The sequence below is a fragment of the Homo sapiens genome, chromosome 15, assembly GCF_000001405.40.
Source record: "Homo sapiens chromosome 15, GRCh38.p14 Primary Assembly".
In the NCBI taxonomy this organism is placed as follows: Eukaryota; Metazoa; Chordata; class Mammalia; order Primates; family Hominidae; genus Homo; species Homo sapiens.
Window position 1 is genome coordinate 24,820,198 of NC_000015.10, and position 21,819 is coordinate 24,842,016.

At 42.0% G+C, this 21,819-nt stretch overlaps 1 protein-coding gene and 1 long non-coding RNA gene across 52 annotated transcripts in view; both read left to right on the forward strand.

Annotated features, from left to right (window-relative positions):
• Positions 3,411 to 21,819, forward strand: part of SNHG14 (small nucleolar RNA host gene 14) — a 595,855-nt gene continuing 577,446 nt past the window's right edge. The window contains exons 1-2 of the long non-coding RNA NR_146177.1: positions 3,411 to 3,626; positions 9,601 to 9,708. This is a non-coding gene — a long non-coding RNA (small nucleolar RNA host gene 14). The remainder of the gene's footprint in view (positions 3,627 to 9,600; positions 9,709 to 21,819) is intronic.
• Positions 3,440 to 21,819, forward strand: part of SNRPN (small nuclear ribonucleoprotein polypeptide N) — a 155,087-nt gene continuing 136,707 nt past the window's right edge. For 29 of the 51 annotated variants that reach the window (NM_001400738.1, NM_001400685.1, NM_001400739.1 and 26 more), the window contains exon 1: positions 3,440 to 3,626. The gene's annotated coding sequence lies outside the window, so the exon portion shown is untranslated. Of the gene's footprint in view, positions 3,654 to 9,600; positions 9,709 to 10,052; positions 10,222 to 21,819 lie in introns of all 51 variants that reach the window. The other 22 variants (NM_001400640.1, NM_001349460.2, NM_001400690.1 and 19 more) reach the window with 6 other exon arrangements.

Sequence of the window (21,819 nt, forward strand, 5' to 3'; positions counted from 1 at the left end):
GTGAAACGTGTTAAGTCCTGCTTCTGGTATGACCAAGATAAACATAATTCAAAATAGATGCTGAGGCAACATAAAACTATAAAATTATAAAAATTAAAATCATGTAAAGTAGAAATTACAACAGTACTCTAATAATCTCACATATAGCTAGGTAGAAGGTAAATGAAATGGGCTAATTTATATAAAATTATGTTTGAAAAAGTCTTCTTGAGCCAGACGCGGTGGCTCACGCCTATAATCCCAGCACTTTGGGAGGCCTAGGCGGGCAGATCAGACCAGCCTGACCAACATAGTGAAACCCCGTCTCTGCTAAAAAACACAAAAATTAGCCAGGCATGGTGGTGTGCGCCTGTAATCCCAGCTACTCAGGAGGCTGAGGCAGGAGAATCACTTGAACCCGGGAGGTGGAGGTTGCGGTGAGCCTGAGCCAAGATCATGCCATTACACTCCAGCCTGGGCAAAAAGAGCAAAATTTCATCTCCAAAAAAAAAAAGAAAGAAAAAAAAAAAGAAAAAGAAAAAGAAAAAAATCTTCTTGGCTAGGCATGGTGATTCATGCCTATAATCGGAGGAATTTGGAAAGCTGAGGTGGGAGGATTGTCAGGAGTTCAAGACCAGCCTAGGCAACACAGCAAGACCCCAACTCTACAAAAAAACAAAATTTTTTTCCAAAGTGGCTGGGCATGGTGGCACATGCCTATAGTCCCAGCTACTCAGGAGGCTAAAGCAAAAGGATCCCTTGAGACCAGGCATTGGAAGCTGCTGTGAGATATGATCACACCACTACATTCCAGCCAAGGTAATACAGCAAGACCCTATCTCTTAAATAATAATAATAATAGACCAGAATTCAGCAGACAAGTCACTATGATATCACACTGTGAAGTGAGCAGTCACAGAAAAAATATAGTGTGTTCCATTATTGCTAGAGTACATATTTTCACATCTTTCAAACACATATGTACTATGGTTTAGATCTTTGGCCCCCCAGACCTCCTGTTATAAATTGATCCCCAGTGTTGGAAGTAGGATCTGATAGGAGGTGCTTGAGTTTTGGGGGAAATCCCTCAAGAATGGCTTGGTATTGTTCTCATGGCAATGAGTGAGTACTTACTCTGCTAATTTCGAGGAGAGCTGGTTGCTGAAAAGAGCCCAACATTTGCCCCCTCTCTTGCTTCCTCTCTCACCATGTGATCTCTGCACACACAAGCTCCCCTTTTCTTTCTGTCATGAGTAGAACCAGCTTGAGACCCCAGTCAGAAGAAAGTATTGGTGCCATGCTTCTTTTACAGTCCATAGAACTGTGAGCTAAATAAATTTCTTTTCTTTATAAATTACCCAGACTCAAGTATTCCTTCCTAGCGATACAAATGAACTAAGACAAAATGCTTCTTAAAATTGATAGTGTCAAAACACTATTGGTCAAAATGCAGACTTTTTGTGGTTGTCCTTATATGAATGCACATGAACCTGTCCTAGAAACCTTCCATTGACACCTTCTTTTAATGTCATCAACACAAAACTTGCAGAGGAGCTGTCAGCAGGTTGGAAAGATAATCTCACAGAGTGTTGCGTAGGAATCTCACAAGAAATGAAATATCACCAAAGCTTCTGGTTAACAGAGAAGATGATAATGAGGAGAAAATCATAAGAAAGATGAATAGTGACTCAGAAGAGGTGCATCTGGATGAGAGAAATTTATCAATATCTTTATTTTTCTATTTTTTGAGACAGAGTCTTGCTCTGTCACCCAAGCTGGAGTGCAGTGGCACAATCTCGGTCCACTGCAACTTCCATCTCCCGGGTTCAAGCAATTCTTCTGCCTCAGTCTCCCAAGTAGCTGGGATTACAGGCACACACTACCACACCGGGCAAATTTTTGTATTTTTAGTAGAGAATTTTTTTTTTTTTTTTTTTTGAGATGGAGTCTCACTCTGTTGCTGAGGCTGGAGTGCAGTGGCACAATCTCGGCTCACTGCAAGCTCCGCCTCCCAGGTTCACGCCATTCTCCTGCCTCAGCCTCCTGAGTAGCTGAGGGGACTACAGGCACCTGCCACCACACCTGGCTAATTTTTTGTATTTTTAGTAGAGATGGGGTTTCACCGTGTTAGCCAGGATGGTCTCGATCTCCTGACCTCAGGATCCTCCCGCCTCGGCCTCCCAAAGTGCTGGGATTACAAGTGTGAGCCACCGCGCCGAGCAGCAATACCTTTTTTAACGTGATTTGCTTATATTTGCATCTCATTGGAGTGATATAAAACAAATATCCACATTTATATATGTCGAAAAGAGTTATTGTCATTAATTGTGAGGTAAAAATTATAAGGTGTAGGAAGTATTTGTACCATATCTTGTCAATGATTTTATTCCTTTACTATGGCGTAAAATAATGATGTATTTTACAATTGATACAAAAAATATATTTAAATTACTTAGAAAACACTGTCAATATTAGCATACTGATGTTGTGATTAGTATAGACCTGATATTTATCTACAGGCATTATGTATCATTAGTTCATTCATTTCTCCCAAAATATCAAAAGGTAGGTTCTATTACCACTCCTAAGTACAAGTTCTGAATTTGAGCTAAAGCCCTGCAAAAAAAGGGCTGTCTCCATAGTCCTTGCTCACATAAACTATGTTAGAAAATGTTTTTCTGTTAAATTGTGAATACATTGTAGGTCTAATTTAATAAATCTTATGCTAGCCTATAGTCATGAAGATATTTTCCTAACATAGGTTGTAAATACTGTATTAAAAGGTATTTATATTTGGGTCTATGATGCACCTGCAATTAATTTTATGTGTAATGTGAAGTTAAAGGTACATTTAACTTCCCCCAATGAACATTAATTTCCTAGAACATTGATTGTAAAAGCCATCTTTCTACTAATAACTGCTCTTATTAATTATTTGCATTTATATTATTTTGTCTGTTTTGAGCTTTCCTTTATTTCATTGGTTCACCTTTCTATCTGTGCAAATATTACATTGTCTTAATTACTAAGAGTCTTCATTTAATACAAGAATTTTCCATCCACAGCCCTTTAGCCTATCTACTGTGGTGTTCTAAAAGGAAGAAAGAGGCTAGTAAATCCTGGATACTTTGCTCCTACACCAATATTCCCAGCTGTACCTTGAAATAAAAGGATTTAGAACTTTAGAACATTGCTGTTGTTGCTTATGTCTCTAATGTTCTCTTGAATCTTGACAATCCCCGAACACTGCTCCCCGCTTTATTTGTTTAGTCCAGTCCCAGTGAAATAAATTAGATGTCAAGGCTCCTCATTATGGTTGCCTGGTTTTTGGAACCTGGGGTACTTTGTACTCCTCCAGCAACAGCCAGAGGTGGCAGAGAGCTGTCAGTCATCCCTGGGTGCCTCCTGCGCAAGCGCAGTTGTCCTCCTGCGCCGACCTCGAATGCGGTCCTCCTGCTGCAGACCACGCCCACCAAGGGCTGGCCGCAGCCACTGTAGCTGAGCTCAGAGCCTTCTGTGTGGTTTGCGGGGGCAAGGTCAGCTGCCCCCTGCCCTCTCTCTGGGGCTATTTGAGGAATGCGGCCTTTTTGCATAAGAAAGGCTTTTCTCTACAGTAACTGTGGTCGCTGATCAATGACACCTTCCTGGTAACATTTCATATTGCTTTTTTGGAGGTGGGGGTGCAGATATCTTTAAAACTTGCATGCGATTGTCTTTCTTTTAATCACATAAACATCATTTAAAACCAATTCATATTTTGTATTGTATATTAATGCCTTTCATTCCTGTATTTTAAAATGCTATCATAATCATTTTTCGAAATACATATTTAATTATTTTCATCTGTTCAATCATCTTTCTTTAGTAATTAAATGAAAATAGCACTTTATTAAGAAAGACAAATGTTACATATTCTCTGTTTTAGTGTTTTCCAGAAATTTGCTATGAAATACGACTGGTTGAAAAGGAGAGGGTCAGAGACTTTCCTGAGAGCCACAGGACAAAATTTACTTACAATCGCAGGCTTAAAGAAGCTATGATAGTTTAAATTACGTGGCTTAGTTTGTTCTTATTGTGGAAGGTGCACAAGGAATTAATTTGTGTAGACAGAACACTGAGAGTCCCATTCTGAATGCAGAGACAGCTACTTTGCTACCGTGCAAATGAGTGTCGTCATATTGTTTGTTTTTCTCCTTACCCAAAAGCTATAGACATTGGCTTGCATATTTGAGTATTTTCACTTTGGTTTTGTAAATGGCTGCTTGACTTGCCTTCCTACAGAAAATCCATAATACAGAGATGTATTATTTTCTTACTCCTTTATGAGTGATTAGTTTGCACTGAAATAAAAATGCCACTCAGGAAATGTCATACATCTTCAAGCAGCATATATTTTAATAGTATCATCTTGTAGAAAGGGAATTACAATCTTTATTTCTTCTATATCAATGAGCAAACTACTTTTTTAATTTTTATATGTTCATTTTTATTGACTTAGTCAATAGTTTACCTACTTTTTAGGTTTTACGTGCTCCATTAATGTCCATTGTTTTAGGCTGAACCTTTGACACTCCTCATATATCGTTTGTATGAGACTAGATGGCAAGTAAAGATAGGATTCCTCACCCTAGGTTAAACACTAACTTCCTCTTGAAGAAACAACTTAGGAGTCCAAAAAGCAGGCTAGGAATTGTTTAGGTTCTGCAATACGAATTGTGCAAATGCCAACAGGATTGAATTGAGAGAAACACATTCTCTAATGAAGGACTCATTCCTGCAGGGTGGATCTATGAGATTCAATAGCAAATGGCTGTTATACAAGTAATGAAATCCTCAATCTTATGGTCTAAAAGCGATTCTGGGGGGCACTTATTTAAGATACATGAGATGTGAAAAAGCAATGGACCAAGAGCATTGATAGTTTATGGATATTTTTATTTCACATTATTGATAGAGCTTTGTTTGCCAGGCAATGCTGCAGTCAGGCACTCGGGGTTTCAATACCCTATACAGAAAATCTCAAGAGCAGACCTTGGTTAATTTTTTTAAGTAACCCTCATCTTCATTCTTTTATTGTATTATGACCTCGCGCCATTGACCTTAAATTTCACTACAAATTTAGAAGAACCTAATAGTCATTGCAAACTAGATAGATAATGGTATTTATGTAATGAAGGACAAGGGAAAGATGATTCCCAAATCTGAAAGAAACTAGAAGTTTTCTGGGGAAACAAATAGAGGAGATAAGATTTACTGGTTTATTCTTCATTGATGAGAGTTGCGTTCTGTTCTGATAAATGGAAAGCTCCATTGAAATTACAGATGGTCCTCAACTTAAGTTGGGGCTACTTCCCAATAAACCATATTGAAAATGGTTTCATAAATTGAAAATATCACCATAAATTGAAATATCATAAATTGAAAATATCACCAGTCAAAATGTGTTTAACATGCCTACCTTACTGAACATCATACTTTAGTCTAGCCTGTCTTAAGAGTGCTCAGAACACTTATATTTGCCTACATTTGTACAAAATCATCTAACAGAAACCATATTTTATAATGTGTTAAATATCTCATGTAACTTATTGAATACTGCAATGAAAATGAAAAGCAGAATGGTTGTATGGGTACTCGAAGTACAATTTCTACTGAATGTGTATTGCTTTCTCACAATTATAAAGTTGGGAAATCTGAAGTCATACCTCAGGGAGTGCTTTTATTACACAATACAGGTTTATCAGACGCATATACCAACAAATCATAGGAAATTCAGGTTTGGGTCAAGGGGGAGGGGTTCAACCTACTTATACATATTTCCTTCCTCTCTGTTGGGCTACCTTTATCCTTGGGATTGTTGCAAGATGGCCGTGTCATGTAAAGGGCTGTGTCTTTTAGCATCATGAATAAGATGAAAGAGTTGAAGGCCAACTTCATTCAAATGTCTTCTCGATGTGTCCTTCCCTTTTTCTCCTGGACTGCTCTGTGATCCATGTCTCTGTAGAAAATGGCTGGCATAAGTCAATTTCTGACTGGGAGCTGTCATGATTACTGTCTCCCACTGTTAACACTGTACTTGGAGGTCTTGATGGAATTGGGCAAACCTGTTCTTTCAGACCCTCAGTTTCATCTCAACACAAAACTCTCCAAAAGTCCTTGCTGCTCCACAGCAGGGAACTCTCTTGAAGCAATAACATGAGGAAATAGTGGGCTTGCATGGCTGCCTCACATTCCTCAGGTATCACTGTGCTCATTGCCTGATGTACTGTGTCTTGCCAACCATCATTCCACGTAATTTACCCATTCTTGGTTTTTACATTGGTTAAGGCATGTACAAACCCTGTTAGTTTTTCTGCAGTATTTGGATTCATACCTTCTGAAATTACTTGACGATTACTGTGTCTCTGGTTATTTGCTTCTAGTTGGCAATACAAAGGAACAATGTGAATGAAACTCATAAAGAAAAACCTATGATTTAATGGGCGTGTGTAACACTAGAGGGAAGGTCAGAGTTAGTCTATGCATGGGTATAGGTAGGAGTCTCAGTGGGTGTCAGCCATTCTGTGTCAACAAATCAAATATTTAAGGTGGATCTAAAAGAAAGGTAATATCTCTGCCAATTAAACTAGAGTCACGCATTGACTAATGGCAAATACAGTCTAAGAAGTGCATTTTTAGGCAATTTTGTCATTATGAGAACAACGTAGAGAGTACTTACACAAACTTAGATGGTATAGCCTACTACATGGCTAGGCTATATGGTAAAGCATGTTGCTTCTAGGCTACAAACCTTTACTGAACTGTAAGCAATGATAACACGATGGTGTCATATCCCATATATATACACATACACACACATACATATATATACATATACTATAGTAAAAATATGATATAAAACATTTTTTAACTGGTACTGCTGTTTAAAGCAGATATCATGAGTGGATTTTGCAGGACCGGAAGTTCATCCAGGTGAGTGAGTGAGTGAGTTGTGAGTGAAGGTGAAGGTCTAGGGCATTATTGTACACTACTGTAGATTTAAGAAACACTGTATGCAGCCGGGCGCGGTGGCTCACGCCTGTAATCCCAGCACTTTGGGAGGCCGAGGCAGGCGGATCACGAGGTCAGGAGATTGAGACCATCCTGGCTAACACGGTGAAACACCGTCTCTACTAAAAATACAAAAAAGTTAGTCGGGTGCGGTGGCGGGCGCCTGTAGTCCCAGCATACTCAGGAGGCTGAGGCGGGAGAATGGGGTGAACCTGGGAGGCAGAGCTTCCAGTGAGCTGAGATCGCGCCACTGCACTCTGGCCTGGGTGAAAGAGCGAGACTCTGTCTCAAAAAAAAAAAAAAAAAAAAGAAACACTGTATGCTTACGCTATACTAAATTTATTTTAAAAACCTGAAGTAGGCCAGGCGCAGTAGCTCACGTCTGTAATCCCAGCACTTTGGGAGGTTGAGGCAGGAGGATCACGAGGTCAGGAGTTCGAGACCAGCCTGACCAAGATGGTGAAACCCTGTCTCTACTAAAAATACAAAAATTAGCCGGGCATTGTGGCACATGCCTGTAATCCCAGCTACTCAGGAGGCTGAGGCAGGAGAATCACTTGAACCCAGGAGGCAGAGGTTACAGTGAGCCAAGACTGCACCACTGCACTCCAGACTGGGTGACAAAGCGAGACTCCATCTCAAAAAAAAAAAAAAAATCCTGAAATACTAATGACATTATGATTGCTACAATGTCACAAGATAAGATAAATTTTCAACTCCATTGCAATCTTATGGGACCAGCAACGTGCATATTGTCTGTTGTTGACCAAAACGGCCCTTATGTGGTACATGACCCTATACACATAACAGCATATTTTATATTTATGGAAAAAGCCCTTCTAGAATTATAAAATCACAAGTTTTACTCACATAAAATTTAACACAATATTGAGATTAACTCATAAATGAAATTATAAAAGTCTTAAAATTTTGACTATGATAGTTCTAAACAAGATTTTAATCCAGAGAAATGAATGTGTTCACGTAATCCTCTGTGGCATAAAGAGTAATGGCAATGAAACATTTCTTAATAAAACAGGCTGCATCATTGTCAGTGCGATTTGCACCTTCCCGTTGACATCCATTCTGTAGGTATTGAATGCAGGTGATCTTACCTGAAGGTGACAACAGAAGATTTTATTACAAGATCACGCATGTGCCCTCAATAACGCCATGTCATTGATGCCACCAGGGTAACAGCTATTGTGATAAAATTTGAAAAATAAACATATGTGGCTTGAACCCGGGAGGCGGAGCTTGCTGTGAGCTGAGATCGCGCCACTGCACTCCAGCCTGGGCGACAGAGCGAGACTCCGTCTCGAAAAAAACAAGAAAGAAAAAAGAAAGAAAAATAAACATACGCTAAAAATTTAGAAGGATAGTAAGTAATAAGCATTTGATTGCTTGAGCCCAGGAATTGGAGGCTGCTATGCTCTGTGATCACAACTATGAATATCCATTGCACTGCAGCCTGAGAAATATAGCTAGGCTCCATCTCTAAAAAAGTAAATAACTAAATAAGTGTTTGAAAATATTTAGCAAGGAAGCCATACTAATGTAGCTGAATCTTGGAAATCAAGAAAAAAAATTGTTCGTTTAAAAGGGCAAAATTAAAAAATTCTTTCCAGATAGAAAGAATAGGTGCAGATGATAGAGCAGCGTGGCCCAGGGGAGGGGCTAAGCAGTGGACTAAGGATGGGGAGGCTGGAGAAGAGGCTGAGGGGAGTCACATGTTGTCCTGAGATGAGAAAGGGAAAAAAAGAAACATGTTCATCTTCAAGTGCAAACTCTCTTCAGATTGAAAGAAAGTTTTTAGTTTCTTGGGAAGCAGAAAAGAATATAGGTGAGGAGTTTGAGAGATTCATTAATTTCTTTGTGAAATTCAACATAAAGGAAGATATTCTGTGTTGCTCTTTGTTCACTATATGTGTGGGGCTCACAGGGAAGCAATATAGACAAAGTTTCCAAATTCTCAGATGTTAAAGGCCAATGGGGATTCAGAAAACGCAACAGAAACTAAACTGCAAGTGGAAGAGCTGCCCTTGGGAGCCCAGAGGGCAAGTTTCAGGCCTGGACTGGGTGGGCAAGGGAGGCCTCCAGGAGGAGGAGCTTTGGAGGAGATTGTGGAGAGTGAGGAGCAGTGAGTCCAGCAAACAGGGCAGGGAAAGCGAGGAGGAAACAGTGTGTCTGTGGCACAGGCCAGGGCATGAGAAGAGGGTGGTGGGTTGGAAGGACCACTGGGATGAGTAATACATGAGGAGGCAGGAGAAGGAAGGGCAGACCATGCAGGGACTGGGCATGGGGGTGAGGGTGCCGGGCAGCTCAGAAAGTGATGCAGGGGCCGCTCTCTGAGGACTGCATTCTGTGGGGAGGGATTTGAATGTCTCAGTTCTTTTATGAAATGTTATCCCCAATCCATGAGGTCTTCTGATTCAGGAACCAGTCAGAACAGGTGAGGGTGGCCCCAGTCCACTGTGCAGGACCATTAGCATTGCCAGGAGGGGTTGGTGCTGAGGACAAAAGAGAGTGAAAAGGGGCAAAGAACTTTCTTTCCTGTCTGTCATTTTGCAGATGTAAGTGGGATCTGTGGATCTGAAAATTCACAGTGGCCAGCTCACCACCACCTGATGAAAGATACACCACAGGGTGAGAGCATCCTAACAGCAAACTGCAAATGAGGTGGGTTTGCAGCTGCACAGAGAAGGGACCCCAGGGAAGCTACACGGGCAAGGCAGGCAGGGGACTTCAGAGGTGGTAGCAGTGGGTGTTGATGAAATTATTCTCTGAGGATATACACGTTTGTCAGTGTACGTGCATGACCGCTTACATGTTGATGTTCGCATACAAACCCCACAATTTTCTCATGTTTTTCAGAGCATAGCATGTATTTTGACTTTATTCTTTCTACCACACGTAACCATGCCTTGTATACCTAGCAATACTTAACGTTTATTTTTGGTGGATTATTCATGGTTAATGCATTTCCTGACTTGGTAGCCAAATGAAATTACCTTGCTTTACAGGCCTTTGGTTGATCATTTCTGAAGATTTGTGTCGCCTGAATTCAGTGGGGGTCACCTCTCCATGATCTTAAGCAACAGTCCTGTTGGGACTGTTATGCTATCCTACTTAACTTTGGACTTGTATGTCCTGGAAAATATGAAACTATCGATACTCACTTGAAAATTCCAGGTGCTTTACCTTTTACTTTGTTTTTGCCGTGTTTCCAATGTTATATATTTTCTCCCACTTACTTTGGATTCAATTGCTCTGCTTCCTTTTACAGTAAAAATTTAGATGTTTGAATTTTGGGTTTCAACTTTTCTAATATATACACACTCAATGCTGTAATTTTCCTCTAAGCTTCCCTGTTGTAGCTGACAAATTTTGATGAGGTGTGTTTTCCTTTCAATTTAGTTCAAATTATTTTAAAAAATTTCTCTTGAGATTTCTTTGACCCATGTATTATTTGGAAATGAATTATATAATCTCCACGTATTTTGCAATTCACCAGTTTTTAAAAATTGATTTCTAGCTTAATTCTGTTGTGTTTTGAGTGCATACATTGTATTAGTCTGATTCTTTTAAATGGTTTCAGGTGTGTTTTATGGAGGAGAATGTGGTGCATCTCGATGAGTGGTCCTGTGGGCTTGAGTTCAATGTGTATTCTGCCCGTTGTTGGATAAAGTCTGTAGATGTCAATTATATCCAATTGACTGATGATACTGTTGAGTTCAACTATGTCCTTACTGATTTTTTCTGCTTGGTGGATCTGTCTATTTCTGATAGAGGAGTGTTGAAAGTCTCCAACGATAATAGCGGATTCATCTATTTCTTATTGTGGTTTTAACAGTTTCTGCCTCACGTAGACTGATGCCCTGTTGCTCTGTTGTTACATGCATATATATTAAGGATCATTATATTTTCTTGGAAAATCGATCCCTTTATTATCACATAAGGTCTTTATCCCTGATAATTTTCCTGTATTTACATTACATTCTTTCTGAAGCTAATAAAGCTATGCCTGCTTTCTTCTGGTTACTGTTAGCAAGGTACATTTTGTTTCATTCATTTACTTTTATATGTACTTTTACTTTTTTTACATTTACTCTTATTAATTGACAAAATTTGAGGTATTGACTATGTAAAATCTTCACATCATCTTCAAACATGATGTTTGAAGAATAATATATATTGTGAAGTGAAAAATTCTTGCTAAGAACATATGTGTTACCTCACACAGTTATTTTTCGTGGCAAGAACACTTTACATCCACTCTTTCTTCATTTTTCATAATGCAATTTATTGTTAACTATAGTTACCATGTTGTACAATCTCTTGATCTTTTTCTTCCTATCTAACTGAAATTTTGTACCCATTCACAATCATCTACCCATCCTCATCCCCTACCACCCTTAGGCCCTAGTACTCACCATTCTACTTTGTATTTATATAAATGAGCTTTTTTAGATTCCGCTTACACATGGGTTCATGTGGTATTTGTCTTTCTCTTCCCGGCATATTTCATTTAACATATTGTCATGCAGATACATTCATTCTGCCTCCAATGACAGTAATTCTCCCTTTTTAAGGCCGATAATATCCTGTTTTGCATATACACTGCATTCTTTTTATCCATTAATCTGTTGATGGGCACTTAGGTTGATCCCATATTTGGCTATTGTGACTAATTCTGGAATGAATGTGGGAGTGCAGATATCTATCCAACACACCGGATAGTCAATGAAATCTCCCAAGGCAGATTTTATTACCTTTGGATATATACCCAGTAATAAGACTGCTCGATCAAAGGGTAATTCTATTGTTTTTTTTTTTAGGATCCTTCACAATTTTTCCCATAATTACTATATTGTACTAATTTACATTCCCACCGACAGTACACATGTTCCCTTTTCTCCCTATCTTTATCAACACTAACTTTTGTCTTTTAAAATAGCCATTCTAACAAGTGTGAGATGATATCTCATTGATTTAAATTTGCAATTGTCTATGTATGTCTTCATATTTATACAGATTTCCAATATACAAGATATAACGGGGACTTGTTTTTAGATCTACTCTGACAATGTGTCTTTAATTGGTGCATTTCAACCATTGCTACTCAAAGGGATTACTGACATGGTTGTGAGAGGTGAGGCCAGCTGGACTTCCTGGGTCGAGTGGGGACTTGGGGAAATCTCCTGTCTTACAGAGGATTTTAAAATGCACTAATCAGCGCTCTGTAAAATGCACCAGTCAGCAGGATTCTAAAAGTAGCCAATTGAGGGGAGGATTGAAAAAAGGGCACTCTGATAGGACAGAAATGGAACATGGGTGGGGACAATAAAGGAATTAAAGCTGGTAACCCCAGCCAGCAGCCACAATCCGCTGGGGTCCCTTTCCACGCAATGGAAGGTTTGTCTCTTCGCTCTTCACAATAAGCCTTGCTACCGGTCACTCTTTGGGTCCATGGCATCTTGGACTAAGAGTCCAAGGTCAGTTCAACTTGGTGGAGCAAGCTGGCAGTTAGATGAAAAATATACACAGACTTGCTGCAGCTGTACAGATGATGAACGTAGAACTCAAAAGATGATGGAGGCCGGGCGCGGTGGCTCAGGGCCTGTAATCCCAGCACTTTGGGAGGCCGAGGCGGGCGGACCACGAGGTCAGGAGATCGAGGCCATCCTGGCTAACACGGTGAAACCCCGTCTCTACTAAAAATACAAAAATTAGCCAGGCGTGGTGGCAGGCGCCTGCAGTCCCAGCTACTCGGGAGGCTGAGGCAGGAGAATGGCATGAACCCGGGAGGCGGAGCTTGCAGTGAGCCAAGATTGCACCACTGCATTCCAGCCTGGGCGACAGAGCGAGACTCTGTCTCAAAAAAAAAAAAAAAAAAAAAAAAAAAGATGATGGAAACAGAGTAGAAATGATGAGAATGATGAATGATGCCTGGAGCTTGGTTCCTGGGTTGCTGTGGTGTTAGATGGTCACAGAGCAGCTTTTTGGAAGCTTATGTCCATGTCTCCTGCTAACAGTAGATACTTGATTAGAATGGAACAGAATGTTTACCTGATTTTTACTTATAGCACCTGGAATGCTAGTAGTAAAATGTAAGCCCTTTGGAGACAGAAAATTTTTCAATTCTGTGTTTTCAGAGCCTAGGATAATTCCTCTGACCTCACTGGTGAGAATACGTAGGTGTTAAACTAATGCACGGATTAAACTATAAGGGCAAAGAAAAAAGTTCCCCTTTGTCCTCTGAAGGTTCACTGAAAAATCAACTGGCAAAAGGAAGATTAATAGAAGAAAAGGTATGTAAAATTTTATTTTAAATTGCATAGGGAGGGAACCACAAAAGAATGATGACCCAGTGAGGTACACACGTTTATATATCTGTTTTCATAGAGGAAGAAGGCGATGTGTAACATAGACTATTATTTTAAGAGGCAATAGACCATCAAGGAGAATGAACAGACCCAGGAGGCAGGAAGCAGACATTAGGAGAAGGTGAGGTGCAGAGCTACGCAGGAAGAGAGGTTGTTGTTTAATGCAAATTAAGTCCTCCAGATAATCTCTTGGAGCTGACCTCAAAAGAACAGACGGTAGGTGTGTCTGGGCTGGTGAGGACTCCCAGCCTCTTGATCTTTCCTGGTTACTTGATGAGATCCCTGGGGAGGATGTTCAAGACCATTGCATTTCTTTATTTTATTTTATTTTCAGATGGAGTCTCACTCTGTTGCCCAGGCTGGAGTGCAGTGGCATGATATTGGCTCACTGCAACCTCCACCTACCAGATTCAAGTGATTCTCTTGCCTCAGCCTCCTGAGCAGCTGGGATTACAGGCGCCTGCCACCACACCCAGCTAATTTTTGTATTTTTAGTAGAGACGGGGTTTCACCATGTTGGTCAGGCTTGTCTCAAACTCCTGACCTCGTGATCCACCTGCCTTGGCCTCCCAAAGTGCTGGGATTACAGGCGTGAGCCACTGTGCCCAGCCTGTAAATGCCCATCCCATTATATTTCTTTTGTAAAGAAGCTTGCTTGGTCAGATAAGGAAATTTCAGAGAGGCTCTTCCTGGACTTGGGAGTGGGAGACAAGATTAGAGAGACCTTCATTCTGAGGCAAATTCTAAGACGGCTCAGCATGACAAAGCACCAGTCTTTGGTATATCTGAGCCCCAACAAAATAAACTGATTTGTGTATGAAGAATGGAGCTTACAGCTCAGACAGCAAATCAATCCTTATTGACTCAGTTTTCAACTTCATCTGGATTACCAGATGCACAGTGTGAAAATAAGTCATTTGCCAGCCTGAGCAACATAGCAAGAGCCCGTCTCTATAAAAAGTGTAAAAATCTAGCTGGGCATGGTAGTGACCGTCTGTTGTCCTAGCTACTCTGCAGCCTGAGATGGGAGCATCACTTGTTACAGTGAGCTGTGATCATGATCAGGTCACTGCACTCCAATCTAGCTACTGAGTGAGACCTTGTCTCTCTCTCTCCCTCTCTCTCTCTCTCTCTCTCTCTATATATATATATATATATATATATATAGCCAGGCGTGGTGGCAGTCACCTGTAATCCCAGCTACTCAGGAGGCTGAGGCAGGAGAATCGCTTGAATCTGGTAGGTGGAGGTTAAAGTGAGCTGAGAGTGCCACTGCACTCCAGCCTGGGCAACAGAGCGAGACTCCATCTGAAAAAAAAAAAAGAAATGCATATAATATATATAGTATATATAGTATATATATCTATATATAAAATAGATATATATAGTATATATATCTATATATAAAATAGATATATATAGTATATATATCTATATATAAAAATATAGATATATAGTATATATATCTATATATAAAATATATAGATATATATACTATATATCTATATATAAAATATATAGATATATATACTATATATAAAATATATAGTATATATATGAAAATAAGTTATTTGTATTCAAAGCATCAAATAAAATTTTGTTTTAGTTTTCTAAAAAAATACAAGTAACATATATAGGCATGCTGTTTTTCTTCTTATATGTGACTACATTACTTTAGTATGTAGCAAATATCATTTGCTAGCTGTAGTAAATGTGCATTGTCACATTTTGTCCAATTTTGTTCAAACTTTAATCAAATGCCTAAGAATTTAAAATTACCTTAATTTTGTAGAAGCAAATCACAGCTTATCATTTTAGATGTTTTACTTACTTATGAGTCTACTATTTCCCACGTTACTGCTGTTTCTGGCCTGCCTGTGGCAGTATTGCCATTCACTGGAACCTGCTTCCATAGGAGGAGCATCCTGATGTGTTTAGGAATACTAAAATTCAGATCATTCCCCATCAGAGTTGTCTATTCTGTTTCTCCCTCTCATCCCCATAATGAATGCATACATTCTTTCTGTTTGTTTGGTAATTATTGGGTCATTTAAAATGAAGACTATGAAATGAGAACAGAACCACTGACCAAAATGTACAACTTTTTAAACGTACCATGGGGAAGAAAGGTCCAGAACCTATGCGCGGAGTATGTTACTAATCCAGAGAGAAAGTATATTTAAAAACAACCTGAGTGGTCAGGAAGTCAATTTCTTTTTTCTTTATTTTTTTAAGAGAGACAGGGTCTCGCTTTGTTGCCCAGGCTGGTCTCGAACTCCTAGGCTCAAGCCATCTTCCCTCTTCGGCCTCCCAAAGGGATCAGTTTCTGAAGTGAGATGAGTGAGTTGATTCCTTGAGCATTGTCTTAATATGCTACGGCTACCATAACAAAGTACCAGAGACTGGGTGGCTTACGCAACAGAAGTTAACGTTCTGGAGGCTATAACGTTCTAGAGGCCGGCAAGGTTGTATTCTTTGTGACCTCTCTACGTGGCTGGCAGATGGCCACCTTCTCTCTGTGCTCTCACCTCTTCCTTCCCCTGTGCTTGCACATCCCTGGTTCTCTCATCCAAGCATTCTATTCTTATAGGGACACCAGGCAGATAGGATTTGGCCCACCTTAATGACCTCATTTACCTTAATCATCTAATAGAAGGCCCTATGTCCAAACAGTCACATTCTGAGACACTGGGGGTGAGGGCTCTGCAGGGGAGAAAAATAATACCTTTCCTTCACCTGCTGCAAGGTTCGTGGCTGAGTCCTCATAACAAAATCCAGATTAACAAAAGAAAAGTATGCAAATGCATTTTTTTTTTGAGACGGAGCCTCACTTCTGTTGCCCAGGCTGGAGTGCAGTGGTGTGATCTCTGCTAACCACAAACTCTGCGTCCCGTTTTCAAGCGATTCTCCTGCCTCAGTCTCCCGAGTAGCTGGGACTATAGGCGCCCACCACCACACCCAGCTAATTTGTGTATTTTTTAGTAAAGATGGGGTTTCACCATGTTGGCCAGGCTGGTCTCAAACTCCTGATCTCAGGTGATCCGCCCTGCTCGGCCTCCCAGAGTGCTGGGATTATAGGCGTGATCCACCACGCCCAGCCACAAATGCATTTAATGTAAGTTTTATGTGACACAGGAGACTACGGAAATGAAAACTCAAACATCTAGGGAGAACTGTGCATTTTTATGGACAGTCATTTAGAAGTATGATTGGAGGACAAAAGGGTATGATCTAATGGTAATAAACTGGGAGGAACTTACCAAGGCCTGACTGTTCAGGTTCTTCTTGGCCTCCAAGTTTGATATTCCTTCCCTTCGGGCATAGGGCAGAATACCTGTCACATGAGGGTCTTCAGGAGAGAAGAGGTGGGAGCAGGTCATTTCAAACCTTTCTCCCTCTGGAGTTTTCTGTCTCCTCCAGCTTAAAATCCTTAGTGTGCCAGGGTGCCATACATTGGGGTAGTATTTCCTGTACTCCAGTAGCTTCAATGTATAAATCTTAGCCACAACAAGCATGAATAGAGATTTCAAGCTACAGAAGGAAGCAAAGGACTACCGAGAGGTAAAGATGTCCAAAGGTAACTCTGGCGAAAAGAATGAACTCCTTGTACAGCTGTGAATGGGAGTTTGGGCAAGCGTTAAGTCTGAACCTACCTATAGGTGGGACTCTTAACCATTTTATATTTATGCAGAGCGAGTAAATGGAAAAATCCCGTGGAAAAACACTAATCATATATTGCGACTTGAGGGGGCTACAGATTTTTTTTTTTTTTTGAGGTGGAGTCTCACTGTGTAGCCCAGGCTGGAGTGCAGTGGCTGCGATCTTGGCTCACTGCAAGCTCCGCCTCCTGGGTTCACGCCATTCTCCTGCCTCAGCCTCCCGAGTAGCTGGGACTACAGGCGCCCACCACCATGCCTGGCTAATTTTTTTGTATTTTTGGTAGAGACGGGGTTTCACCGTGTTAGCTAGGATGGTCTCGATCTCCTGACTTCGTGATCCACCCGCCTCGGCCACCCAAAGTGCTGGGATTACAGGCGTGAGCCACCATGCCCGGCTTGGGGGGCTACTGATTTAAAGAAAGAAAGATTAAAAGGATTTTGATGCAATAACTCTTTAAATTTTTTTTTTTTGAGTTGGAGTCTCACTCTGTCGCCCAGGCCAGAATGCAGTGGTACAATCTTGGCTCACTGCAACCTCCGCCTCCTGGTTCAAGGGATTTTCCAGCCTCAGCCTTCCAAGTAGCTGGGATTATAGCATGCACCACAATGCCCAGCTAATTTTTGTATTTTTAGTAGAGACAGGGTTTCACCATGTTTGCCAGGCTGGTCTTGAACTCCTGACCTCAGAAGATCCGCCTGCCTCGGCCTCCCAAAGTGCTGAGATTACAGGCATGAGCCACTGTGCCCGGCCAACTCTTTATTTATTTATTTTTTTTTTTTTGAGACGGAGTCTCGCTCTGTCGCCTAGGCTGGAGTACAGTGGTCCAATCTCGGCTCGCTGCAAGCTCCACCTCCCTGGTTCAAGTGATTCTCCAGCCTCAGCCTCCCAAGTAGCTGGGACTACAGGCACCTGCCACCACGCCCAGGTAAAATTTTTGTATTTTTAGTAGAGACGGGGTTTCACCGCGTTAGCCAGGATGGTCTCAATCTCCTGACCTCGTGATCCACCCGCCTCGGCCTCCCAAAGTGCTGGGATTACAGGCGTGAGCCACCATGCCCGGCGCCAACTCTTTAATTTTTAAAATTGGGTTTCTGGAGGTGATATCCATCCTTTTCCAGTACACAGTTTATAGAGTTTCAACAAATACATACTGTCATGAAATTACCACCGTAATCAATGTTTCCCATAGTGGCCACAGCTTGGGAAATCCTAACAAAGGCTTTAGGCTTCCTGGCCTCTGCTGCCATGACCCTGTAGAAAGAATGGATTACGAGATTCGTTCCCACCTGCCCCTCCCTGGGTCTCAGATCTTCCCTATCTATCAGATAAGGATTGGATTGAGCTGGTGTAGCCAGTTTGTCTGTCCCTGTGCTGAGGTTACTACTTCTGCTGGCACCCAAAGCACTTGTTATAGATCTAAACAAGTTGATTTCAGTCATCCAGTCCAGCAAGGGAGGACATGTCCTATATAAACTTGATGTGCCTGATAACATAAGCCACCCCACTGGAAGTATCAGATGTTTCCCGCACTACTAGAGGGTTCCTAGCACCCTGGTCCTCCCTGATCCTGTCCCCCAACACTGTGAGATCCCATAGAAAGTGGGGGTCACCTTGGGGAACACTGCCATAAAATTAGAGTTAGGGGGCCCTTTCTGGGGTTTTATGGTGGCCTGAACCACAAACCACCCCCAAGAACATGCACTTTGAAGAGAAAAGGAAAAAGAATGGTAGGGAACACTGAGGTTGGAATTTCACAGGAACAGCCTAATTAGCCAGCTACCTGGTCCACCTCCATCCACATCAAGCTCAGTGTTTCCCAACATGTGCTGCAGTGCCCCATTTCCCATGCATTGGAGTGTAGTGTTTAGTGTTCATACTACTAGATAGAAGTACCGCCTCCTGAGCAGGCCTTCTTGATGTCCTATCTTCAGTTGCTTTGGCTGTTCCATTGTTCAGTAGCTCCATTGGCTTGCAGATGACAGGGTGCATACAAAGCCCATCATATTCCATGAGAGCATGGCCATTGTTTTGCTGGTCATGTAGTGAAGGATGCTTCTTGGTGAGACTGAGGTCCTCTGGGGTGTTCAAAATCATGACATAAGTTCTCCTCAATAACAGCAATGGTAGTATCAGCATCCACAAGCGTGCATATTTTTTGTCCTTTCCAAGTAGCAAGCTGTTTTGATAGTCTTTGTCCCCACAAAGAGGCTCTTTAAATATTCTAGTCACTCAATTGCCATTCCCTGATGAGGTATGTAGGCTGTCAGCAACGGCCCACACATTGGTGAAATGCAGGAAGACCTGGTGGTAGGGGTGGCCTGCATGGTCATCACAAATGCGTGTTGTTTGGTCCACTGGGCAAATTGCCAAGGTTTATTCTGACAAATGATGATGACAACCACAGCCTAACAGACCCCATCTGCTCTGTTGTTTCACTGAGCCATCAGTAAACCATGCCACACCATCAGCAGGCTTGTCTTGGAGCCTTAGGCTCCAGACAGCCATGGGAGGAGCCAAAGCACACCCAGTGGTTCTCTTGGTGTCTTCTAATTAGCTAGCCATTTGTTCACGGAGCCTGCTGGTCACATGTGGTCCTAGCTGGGCCTGAACTTGAATGCACCACTTCCATTTGATAAGTGAAGTCTATGGAGCCTGTCTAATTTTATTGGTTGAGCTTGTGAGCCATCCAGAGAGAAATGGCAGTTCAGGTTGCAGAGTTTCATCTGGCATTCTGGCCACGAGGTGCCCAGTCCAAAACAGTACCCAATATCAAGTAAGGATTGCCATTTAAAAGAGGGATATAGGCCGGGCGTGGTGGCTCATGCCTGTAATCCCAGCAGTTTGGGAGGCCAAGGCGGGTGGATCACCTGAGGTCAGGAGTTCGAGACCAGCCTGACCAATGTGATGAAACCCCATCTCTACTAAAAATAGAAAAATTAGCCGGACATGGTGGCATGCGCCTGTAATCCCAGCTATTCAGGAGGCTGAGACAGGAGAATTGCTTGAACCCGGGAGGCAGAGGTTTCAATGAGCCGAGATTGCACCATTGCACTCTAACCTGGGCAACAAAAGTGAAACTCCATCTCAAAAAAATAAAATAAAATAAAGAGGGATATTTGGTGGCTGCCTGAGGCAACTTATGTGTCCAAGATCTGAGAGGCTGGTACACCCCAGTGTCAGTTTTCTGTTGCCAGAGACATCCATCACTGTGCATCAGGTTGCACACAACTGTGATTTCATCTGGCTAGCACATTTAAGGTTTAAAAGGAAGTGCCTGAGACACAAATTGTTGTAAACCTGCTGCTGCAAAGGGTTCCATTCAAAGTGTGTGGCTTTATTGGTTACCTTGACTCTGGGTGCCAGAAGAACCCCCATGTGAGATGCATGTTGTCTCCAGTACCCAAAGCGACCTAACCAGCTGCCAGGCCTCCTTTGTATCCGTGAGTGCAGCCAGGGGCTTGCCTGTATCTGGGATACTGTTTTGGCTTCTTGCTCAGGTAGCTTTGGCATTCATTGTGCCCATGGCCTTTTTGACCAGCTAAACTGGGCTGTTACATTGTGACAGGTGGGTTGTCACTTTTTTCTTTTTTTCGAGACGGAGTCTTGCTCTGTCACCCAGGCTGACCTGGTGCGATCTTGGCTCTCTCTAACCTCCGCCTCCCAGGTTTAAGCACTTCTCCTGCCTCAGCCTCCTGAGTAGCTGGGATTATAGGCGCCCACCACCATGCCCTGCTAATTTTTATATTTTAGTAGAGACGGGGTTTCACCATGTTGGCCAGGCTGGGCTTAAACTCCTGACCTCGTGATTCACCCACTTCAGCCTCCCAAAGTGCTGGGATTACAGGCATGAGCCCCCACGGCCAGCCGGTTGTCACATTTTTATCTGTAACAAGTAAATCCAGAATTAATAAAATAGTGTCATTGTTCCATTTAGTATGCAGTACCACTTTTTTTAATGATTCAGTGCGGCTTGGGTAGCTTAGGTAACAGGCAGGAGTGGATACGGCCCACTATTGTGTCTTAGTTCTTAGCTGTGAGGGGGCATAATCTTCCAGGACATCAATGCCTATAATGCACTCAGGGTGGGAACCAGAGCCACCTGCATAAAAAGTTGCTCACAGGGCTCTACCCACAAGTACATAAGCATTGTGTGCAGATAAGCATCACGGGCCACCAGTTTGTTCCCAAACCTCCCAATGTCATCCGTTTAATTATTCTCCTAAAAGGACCCAGAAACATTGTCATGTGGGTTCCGGTATCCAAGCACCTGAGAAAAAACTGAAGTCTTCTCTTTTCTCCTCTTATCATAACAAGGGTATAAGGCCAGAGGGCTTCAGTAGGGACCTAGAGGCCTTGGCCCCATTCTTAACTGTGTCAATCAGACCAAGACACTTAGGTGGCAGTGTTCCTTTATCAAACACTCACAATAGCCACACTGCGTAAGATTTCCCTGGTCTTCCTCCTTATCCTTTCGAGCCTGACTCTTCCCATCTTCTGGGCTGACATTGTACGTGTTAGTTCCTCTCATGCCTCAGGGACCATACAAGGACCTCTCTCTAGTTTCTTCTTGGGTGCCTCAGGGGCTGTCTGAATACTCACCATTCAAGCTCTTGGGCCCTGACAATAAGGGATCACATAAGTGCCCAGCACCTAGGGGACCTTGAACTATGATCTGCTGTTTCCACATTCCTTTCTCTCTGTCTCAGTCCATGCAGCCAGCTCACTTACATCTGTGGGGAGGAGA